The sequence below is a fragment of the Homo sapiens genome, chromosome 5 (genome assembly GCF_000001405.40).
Source record: "Homo sapiens chromosome 5, GRCh38.p14 Primary Assembly".
NCBI classification, from domain to species: domain Eukaryota; kingdom Metazoa; phylum Chordata; class Mammalia; order Primates; family Hominidae; genus Homo; species Homo sapiens.
Window position 1 is genome coordinate 162,512,242 of NC_000005.10, and position 10,848 is coordinate 162,523,089.

Below are 10,848 nucleotides of genomic sequence, written 5' to 3' on the forward strand. Positions count from 1 at the left end.
CACCCTTCTGACACCTTTATCTTAGCTCATTGAGATCCCCATTAGACTTATGATCTACAGAACTGTACAGTAATAAATTTGTGTTCTTAAAAACCACAAAACTTGTGGTAAATTTCTCACAACGGCAGTAGAAATTCAGTAAACTTGGGGTTCTTTTAATCGCTCTAATGCCCAGGTCACACTCCAGAACAATTATAGAAATTCTGGGGTCAGGAGAAGATACAGGTATCAATAATTTTTTCAGGTTCCCTGGGAAATTCCAATGGGCAGCCATGTTTAAGAACTGTTAACTATAAGCATATTTACAGGTCTTTGTAAGGAATTAAACTGCCTCAAAACCCTTCATTGGTCGTAAGGCTGGGGCCATACGTCCTGCCACTCCACATGTGGTTTCAGAGTATCAATATCGTCTCAGATAATGCATTTTCTAAGGTGTATTAACTTTAAAAATGCATTATCTGGGCCCCAACTTGACCCAACAAATAAGAATCTGAATGATTTGTATGCACATTAAATTTTAAGACACAAATAGTGAGCACTGACGGTTGCCCTCCTAATCCAAGATGTCTCTAAGACTTGTAATGAATTTTAAATTATTATAAAGATAAAATTTTTTAAGCATGTCCTCTAGGCTATGGGTTCCCGAATGAAAGAAACTCCTTCCCACCTACCTTCCTTCCCTCTTTCTTTCTTTCCTTTCTTTCCTTTTTTCTCTCTTTTTCTTTCTCTCTTTCTCTTTCTTTCTCTTTCTTTCTATTCTTCCACTCCCTCGCTTCCTTCCTTCCCTCCCTCTCTTCCTTTTTTCCTTCCTTTCTTTTGTTTTTCTTTCTTTCTGTCTTCCTTTCTTTCTCTTTCTTTCTAGTCTTTCCCCTTCCTTCCTTCTTTCCTTCCTCCCTTCCTCTCTTTCTCTCTTCCTCTCACACTTTCTTTCTTTTTTCTCTTTCGATTTATGTGTTATTCTGTGCTTTCACTTTTTATTTCCTTTTTCTTCCCTTCTTTTCCTCCTCCTCCTCTTTTTTCCTCCTCCTCCTTCTTTTCCTGTCTCTTTCTCTCTTTTTCTTCCCTCCACTCCCTATCTTGCTCTCTCTCTTTCTTCCTTTACTTATCTCCAGGGCAAGAGACACATTCCTGACTTGCTGACTCACTACCTAAGTTAATAATATATGTAACTGCAACAAAGACAAAAATAACCAAATGCATGCTACTACCAAATAGAAATATAACTTGAAATGTCAGAAAAATGTACATTTTAATTTATACTCCGTGCTCTATTTTTTAAATTTTTGTGAGTACATAGTAGGTATATATATTTTTATAGGGTTCCTGAGATATTTTGATACAGGCATGCAATGTGTAGTGATCATATAAGGGTAAATGGGATATTCATCACCTCAAGCATTTATTCTTTTTTTGTGTTGCAAAGAAAAGTACAATTCAATGGTTCTCCTTTAGTTAGTTCTAAATGTACAGTAAATTATTGTTGTCTGTAGTCACCCTATTGTGCTAACAGGTACTAGATCTTATTCATTCTATTGAATTATATTTTGTATCCATTAACCATCCACATTCCCCACTGCCCCACTACCCTTCCCAGCCTCTGATAACTATCATTCTACTCTCTACTTACATGAGATCAGTTGTAATTTTAGCTCCCACAAATAAGTGACAACATATAAAGTTTATCTTTCTGTGCCTGTCTTATTTCACTTAACACAATGTTCTCCAGTTTCATTCATGATCCTGCAAATGATGAAATCTTATTCTTTTGTATGGCTGAATAGTGTTACATTACGCATTTGTGCCACATTTTTCTCTATCCATTCATTTGTTGATGAACACTTAGGTTGCTTTAAAATATTGGCTATTGTGAATAATGCTGCCATAAACATGAAAATGAAGCTATCTCTTCAATATACTGATTTTCTGTCATTTAAGTATATACCTAGCAATAGGATTGCTAGATCATATGCTAGTTCTAATTTTAGCTTTTTGAGGAATCTCCAGAATGTCCTTCATAGTGGTTTTACTAATTTACATTCCCACCAACGGTGTACACGGGTTCCTTTTCTCCACCTCCTGGCCAGCATTTTTATTGTGTGTCTTTTGGATATAAGCCATTTTAACTGGAGTAAGATGATATCTCATTGTAGTTTTCATTTGCATTTCTCTGATGATCAAGGATGTTGAGCATGTTTTCATATACCCATTTGCCATTTATATGTGTTCTTCTGAGAAATGTCTATGCAGATCTTTGGCCCATTTTAAAAATTATATTATTCGATTTCTTTTGCTATTGACTTGTTTTACCTCTTTATACAATCTGGTTATTAATCCCTTGTCAGATGAGTAGTTTGTGAACATTTTTCCCATCCAATGGATTGTCTCTTCACTTTGTTGATTGTATCTTTTGCTGTGCAGAAGCTTTTTAATCTGATGTGATGTTAGTTGTCCATTTTTTCTCTGGTTGCCCGTGCTTGTTAGGTACTACTCAAGAAACCTTTGCCCAGACCAATGGCCTAGAGAGTTTTCTGAATGTCTTCTTTTGTTAGTTTCATAGCTTGAGATCTTAGATTTAAGTCTCTAATTGATTTTGGTTTTATTTTTACATATGGTGAGAGATAGGAGTCAAGTTTCATTCTTCTGTATATGGATATCCAGTTTTCTCAGCACCATTTATTAAAGAATATATCCTTTCCCCAATGCATCCCCTTGGCAACTTCATTGAAAATGAATTCATGGTAGTATTTTGTTCCATTGGTCTGTGTATCTGTTTTTATAATAATGTCATACCATTTTGCTTATTATAGTTCTGTAGTATAATCTGAAATCAAATAATGTAATTTTTTAAATTTTGTTCTTTTTGATCTGAATAGATTTTGCTATGCTGGATCTTTTGTTATTCCATATAAATTTTATGGGTTTTTTTATTTCTATGAAGATTATTACTGGTTTTTGACAGGGATTGCATTGAATCTGTAGACTGCTTTGGGTAGTATGAACATCTTAAAAATATTGATTCTTCCAATCAATGAACACAGAATATCTTTCCATTTTTGCCTGTCCTCTTCAATTTCATCCATCAGTGTATTATAGTTTATATTCTTGAGATTTTTACTTCTTTGCTTAGGTTTATTCCTAGGTAGTTTGTTTTATTTGTAGCTATTGTAAATGGAATTACTTTCTTGATTTCTTGTTCACCACTGGCATATAGAAATGCTACTGACTTTTGTATGTAGATTTTCTATCCTGACACTCACTGAGTTTGTTTATCATTAACAATAGTTTTTTTGTGGATTATTTAGGTTTTTCTAAATATAAGATCATATTATCTGCAAACAAGGATAACTTGACTTCTTCCTTCCCAGTTTGTATATGCTTTATTTCATCCTCTTGTCTAATTGTCTAGCTAGAACTTCCAGTCCTATGTTGAATAAGAGTGGTGAAAGTAGATATTTTGTCTTGTTCCATATCTTAGAGGAAAAGGGTTCAGTTTCTCCCCATTCAGTATGATACCAGATGTGTGTCTCTCATATATGGCTTTTATTGTATTGAGGTATGTTCCTTCTATTCCTAGTTTTTGAAGGTTTTTGTCATGAAGGGATACTGAATTTCATCAAATGCTTTCTAAGCATCAATTGAAATGATCAAATGGCTTTTGTCCTTTATGTTCTTGATATGGTGTATTACATTCATTGATTTGTGTATGTTGAACCATCATTGCATCACTGGGATAAACCCTATATGGTCATAATGAATGATCTTTTTAATGTGTTGTTAAATTCAGTTTGCTAGTATTTCATTGAGGATTTTTGCATCAATGTTAAACAGGCATATTAGGCTGTAATTTCATTTCTTTTTTTTTTCTTTTTGCTGCATCTTCGACTTTGGTACCAGGGTAATACTGGCCTTGTAGAATGTGTTCAAAGTATTATTTCCTCCTTTATTTTGTGGAGTAGTTTGACTAGAATTGGTGTTAGTTCTTTAAATGTTTGCTAAAATTCAGGAGTAAAGGTATTAGGTCCTAGGCTTTCCTTTGCTAAGAGGCTTTTTATTACAACTTCAATCTCATTACTTGTTATTGGTCCATTCACGTTTTGAATTTCTTCATGGTTCAATCTTGGTAGGTTGTATGTGTCTAGTAATTTATCCATTTCTTTTAGGTATTCCAATTTATTGGCATATAGTTGTTCATAGTAGCCTCTAATGATCCTTGAATTTCTGCAGTATCTGCAGTTTTAATATCTGCATTTTATCTCTGATATTATTTGGGTCTTCTCTTTTTTTTTCTTAGTTTGATGTGTTAGTTCATTTTCACACTGCTATAAAGAACTACCTGAGACTAGTTAATTTATGAAGAAAAGAGGTTTAATTGATTCACAGTTCTTCAGGCTGTACAGGAAGCATGGCTGGGAGGCCTCAGGAAACATACAATTATTGCAGAAGGGTAAAGGGGAAGCAAGTGTATTTTCACATGGAGGCAAGAGAGAGAGCAAAGGAGGACATGCCACACACTGTTAAAATATCACATCTCATGAGAACTCACTCACCATCACAACAACAGCAAGGGGAAAATCTGCCCTCATGTTCCAATCACCTCCCATCAGGTTCCTTCTCCAACATTGGGAATTACAATTCAACATGAGATTTGGGTGGGGACACAGAGCCAAATCATATCATCTGGGTAAAGTTTCATTAATTTTGCTTATCTTTCAAAGAAACAATTTTTCATTGATCTTTTGTATTTTTATTCCTTTCCATTTCATTTATTTCTGCTCCTGTCGTTATTATTTTGTTTCTTCTATTTATTTTGAATTTGATTTGCTCTTGCTTTTTTAGATCTTTAAGACACATTATTAGATTATTTATTTGAAGTGTTTCTACTTTTTTGATGTGGGTGCTTATTGACACAAACTTCCCTCTTAGTACTGCTTTCATTGTATCTCATAGGTTTAAGTACATTGTGATTCCATTATCAGTTGTTTCAATAAATTCATAACTTTTTTTCTTAATTTCTGCATTGACCCACTGGTCATTCAAGAGCATATTGTTTAATTTCCATGTTTTGTATAGTTTCCTAAGTCAATATCTTGTTATGGTTTCTACTTTTATTTCATTATTTTCTAAGAAGATATTTGATATTATTTCATTTTTTTTGAATTTTCTAAGACTTGTTTTGTGGCCTAACATATGGTCTATCCTTGAGAATGATCTTTGTGATGAAGAAAAGAATCTGTATTCCAAAGCTGTTGGATGAAATGTTCTGTTAATATCTAATAGTTCCATCAGATGTTTCTATGTTGATTTTCTGTCCGGATGATCTATTCAATGCTGAGAGTTGAGTGTTGACGTTTCCAGCTATTATTGTATTGAGATCTATTTCTCTCCGTAGCTCTAATGATATTTGCTTTATATATCTGGGTGATCCAGTGTTGGGTGCATATATATTTACAATTGTTATGTCCTGTTACTTAATTCACTCATTTATCATTATGTAATGACCTTCTTTGTCTCTATTTAGAGTTTTGTCTTGAAATATATGTTGTCTGATGTATCTGCTCCTTCTCTTTTTTGGTTTCCGTTTCAGTAGAATATCTTTTTCCATCCCTTTATTTTCAGTCTACATGTGTCTTTATAGATAAAGTGTATCTTGTAGGCAACAGATCATTGGATTTTCTTTTTTTCATTAAGCCACTCTATGTCTTGATTGGAGAGTTTAATCCATTTACATGTTATTATTGATAAGTAAGGACTTAATTCTGTCATTTTGTTATTCATTTTCTAGTTGTTTTGTGGTGTTCTCTCTCTTCTTTTCTTTCTTCCTGTCTTCCTTTTAGGAAAGAGAATTATCTCAGGTGGTATATTTTAATTTCTTTAATTTCTTTCTTTTTATTTTTTATGTATTTGTTGTATGTGCTTTCATTTGGAATTGCCGTGAGGCTTGCAAATAATAGCTTAAAGCCCATTATTTTAAACTGACAAGTTTACAGTGATTGCATAAACAATCAAACAACATAACAAACAAGCCAAAAGAAATGCAATGAAAGCTTTACACTTTAACTTCATCTTTCACTTTTTAACTTTTTGTTGTTTCTAACTATTTTTATTATACTACTTCTTGAAAAGTTTTGTTTTTATTATTTTTGCTAGTTTCATGTTTTAGCCTTCCTACTCAAGATGTGCATAGTTTACACACTACAAATACAGTACGGTAATATCCTGTTTGTGTATTTAGTATTACCAGTTGAGTTTTATACCTTCAGATTATTTCTTATTACTGATTATTTTCATTTTCTTAAAGATTGAAGAGGTTTCTTTAGCATTTCTTTTTGGACAAGTCTGGTGTTGATGAATGCCTTCAATTTTTATTTGTCTGGGAAAGTCTTTATTTTTCCTTTATGTTTGAGGATAGTTTCACTGAATGTAATTTCCTAGTATAAAGGTTTTTTTTTTTTTTTTTTTAATTTCAGCAGTTTAAATACGTCATGCTACTCTATCCTGACCTGTAAAGTTTCCACTGAAAAGTCTGCTGCTAGACATATTGGAACTCCTTTGTATGTTATTTGTTTTCTTTTTCTTGCTGCTTTTAGAATCTTTTCTTTATCCTTGACCTATTGGAGTTCTATTATTAAATATCTAGAGGTGCTCTTATTTGGATTAAATCTGCTTGGTGTTCTATAACCTTCTTTTAATTGTGTATTGATATTTCTTTCTCTAGATTTAGAAAGTTATGTTATTATCCTTTTGAATAAACTTTCTACCCTGATCTCTCTCTATCTCTCCTTTGACCAATAACTCTCAGATTTGCTCTTTTCGATTTTATTTTCTAGACCTTGTAGGCATCCTTCTGTCTTTTTTATATTTTTCTTCTGTTTTCGTCTACTGTGCATTTTCAAATAGCTTGTCTTCAAGCTCACTAATTCTTTTTTCTGCTTAATCAGTTCTGCTGTTAAGAGACTCTGATGCATTCTTGGGTATGTCAATTTAATTTTTCAGCTCCAGAAGTTTTGTTTCATTTCTCAAAATTATTTCAATCTCTTCATTAAATTTTTCTGATAGAATTCTGGATTCCTTGTATGTATAATCTTGAATTTCATTGAGCTTCTTCAAAACAGCTATTTTAAAGTCTCTGTCTGAAAGGTCCTATCTCTGTCACTGGTGCTTGGTGTAGTTTGTTTGGTGAGGTCACGTTTTACTGAATGGTATTGATGCTTGTGGATGTTCATCAATGTTGTGGCATTGAAGAGTTAGGTATTTATTGTAGTCTTTGTAGTCTGGGCTAATTTGTATTTGTACTTCTTGGGAATGCTTTCCAAGTATTTGCAAGGACTTAGGTGTTGTGATCTAAGTCTTTGGTAACTGCATCTATATGTGCATTAGAAGGGACCCCAAGCCCAGTAATGTAGCTCTGGCAGACTCATAGACATAATGCCTTGGTGTTCTAAGGAAGATCCAGGAAAATTCCATGTTACAAGGCAGAGACTCTTGTTCTTTTTCCCTACTTTCTCCCAAACCAATGGAGTCTTTCTCTATATGTACTGAGCTACCCGGAGCTGGGTGAGAGGTGAAACAAGCATCTCTGTGGCCACCGTCACTGGTGCTGTGATAGGTCAGACCTGAAACTAGCACAGCACCTGTCTTGCCCAAAGTCCACAGTGTACACTCCCTGGCTATCACCTATGTTCACTCAAGACCCAAGGCTCTATTATCAGCAGGAGATAAATACAGCCAGATTTGTGTCCTTCCATTCAAGATGATGAATTCTCTTTGGCCCTGTGCAGGTTCAGAGGTGTTGTCCAGGAGTCAGGACCTGGAGTCAGGAGCCTTAGGAATGTACCTGGTGCTCTGTTCTACTGCAGCTGAGCTGAAACTGAAGCACAAGGCAATGTCTTTCCCACTCTTCCCTTCCCTTTCCTAAAGTAGAGGTGTCTCTCTCCATGGCAACCACCACCCTAGTCCATAGTGAATACTGCCTGGCTACCTGCATTGTTCACTCAAGGCCCAGGAACTCTACCATCAGCTTGTGGTGAATGTTGTCAGGCCTGATTCTCTTCATTCAAGACAGTGGGACCCCTCTGGCTAAGGGCAGGTCCAGAAATGTCATACAAAAGCCAAGCTCTGCAATTGGGGACCATAGGAGCCCCATTGGTACTTTACTACACTGTGGCCAAGCTAGTGCCTAAGCTACAAAGCAAAGTCTCTTTACTCCTCTCTCTCTGATTCTCAAGCAGGAGACTCTCCCCATAGCCACTATAGCTGGTAGTGTGATGGGTCACACCTGAAGCCAGCACAGCTCTGAGTTTCACCCAAAGCTCATGGTCATTACTACCTGGCTACTGCTGATGATTATTTAGGGGCCAAAGGCTCTTTAGTCAGAAGGTGATAAATCCTACCAGAATATTGTCCTTCCCTTCAAGGCAGCAGGCTTCCTTCTGGCCCAGATGTGTCTAGAAATGCCATCCATGAGCTATGGCCTGTAATGGAGGCTACAGGACTCTGCCAGTACTCTATTCTACTGTGGCTGAGCTGGTATCAAAGTTTCAAGACAAATCCCTCTTTATTTTCCCTTCTTTTCTCCACAGTGGAAGGAAGGAGTGCCTTCCACAGCTGCAAGCTGTGCTGCCTGAGGCTGGTGTAGGATTGATGCAAGCCCTCCTTTGGCTGCATCACCTGGTGTCTCACTAGGTTTCATGTACCAGCTTTGAGCTCAGCACAGCACCTGGGCTTGCCCAGGAATTGCAGTCCTTGTGGTGTAGACTGCTTTTCAAGTTTATTTAAAAACTCACAGCATTTAGCACACAGTCATGGGGCTTATTGGAAATCAGACTCCACCTACTGGGATGGACAATTTGCCTCTGGCTAGGCTGGTCTAAATGCTCCTTCCATGGGTGTCACTTGAGTTCTGCCTTGTTTGCTTTCTGCTGTGACACAGCAGAACTGAGTTCCAATGCAAAGTGCCACAATCACTGCATTCTCCCTCTCCCAAGCACAAGCACACAGATTCTCTCTATACACCATGTGACGGCTGCCAAGGGATGGATGAGGGGTGATTTAAGCAATTCAAGACTGTGTTTCTCACCCTGCTTAGTGCCTCTTTCCTAAACATGATGTTAAAACCAAGTACTGTGATGTTAAAACCAAGTACTGTGATCACTCCCTTCTAATCATTCACTTTTTTGTGTGTGGATTGTTGTTCGATTTGGTGTTCTTCTTGAGGGGGGATAATTACTGGAGGCTTCTATTCAGCTGTCTTGATCTGCCTCTTCTTCCATAGCTCTATTTTTTTATTGACAAATGTTTTTTACCTATTGATTGGAATATGTGATATTTTATTACATGCATAGACTGTATAAGGATCAAGTCAGAGTACTTGGGGTATCTATCACCTCCAGTATTTATCACTTCTATGTGTTGGGAACATTTCAAGTTCTCTCTTCTATTTTGAAATATGCAATACATTGTTGTTAAGTATAGTTAGTCTATTCTGCTATCAAGCATTAGAACTTATTTCTTCTATCTAACTGTATGCTTGTACCCATTAACCAAACGTTCCTTATCCCTAACCATCCATCCACACAACTTTGCCAGCCCATTCTGTGGCGTGAGTTGTCATGTCTCCTTATTCACTTCAGACTGAGTTTGAGCTCTCTGTTTTCTTTTGGTTTATCTAGCCAGCTATTTATTATTGATTTTGTTTATCTTTTCAATAAACCAAGTTTTCATTTTGTTGAGCCTTTTTTTTTTGTTTTTATTTTGTTTAGTTCTGCTTCAGTACTTATTATTTATTTTCTTCTACTAAGTTGGAGTTCAGTTTATTCTAGTTCCTTGAGGTGCATCATTAATTTTTTTTTATTTTAAATCTTTCTACTACTTTGATGTAGGCATTTATTGCTATAAAGTTTCTTCATAGCACTGCTTTTTCTATATTCCAGAGGTTTTGTTATGTTGTATATCTGTTTCCATTTGTTTCAAGACTTTTTAATTTTAATTTCTTCCTTAATTACTTCCTTGACCCAATGGTCATCCAGGTGTTAATTTAGCATGACATTTAATTTCCATGTAATTGTACTCTTTCCCATGTACCTCTTGGTATTAATTCCTTTTTAATTTTACAGTTGTCTGAGAAGATACTTCATATAATTTTGATTTTTAAAAATTTCTTTAAATTTGTTTTATGTCCTAATATATGTTCTATCATGGAGAATGTTTCATGAGCTGATAAAGATGTGCATTCTGCAGCAGTGGGATGAAATGTTCTGTAAATGTCTGTTAGGTCCATTTAGTTTAATTGCAGTTTAAATCCAATGTGTCTCTGTTAATTGTCTGTCCAGATGATCTGTCTGATGCTGAGAGTAGGGTGTTCAAGTCCCCAAATCTTATTGTATTGGAGTCTATCTCTCCTTTTAGCTCTAATAATATTTGATTTACATATTTGTGTGCTCTGTGTTGGCTGCATATATGTTTAGAACTGTTATATTCTCTTGCTGAATTTATCCCCTTAGCATTACATATGACCCTCTTTGTCTGTTTTTACTTCTTCTGACTTAAATTCTGTTTTATCTGATATAAGTATAGCCACTCCTACTCAATTATGGTTTCCATTTGCACAAGTGTAATTTTCCAACTTTCACTTTCAGTCTAAAATTGTTTTTACAAGTGAGATTAGTTTCTTTTAGAGAGCATAGACAGCATATAGCTGGGCCTGGTTTTTGTTTGTTTGTTTGTTTGTTTTTAATCCATTCAGTCAGTCTACATCTTTTAAGTGGAAAGTTTAATCCATTTACATTTAATGTTATTATTGATATGTGAGGGTTGTTCCTGATTGATTTATCATTGTTTTGTATATCCTTT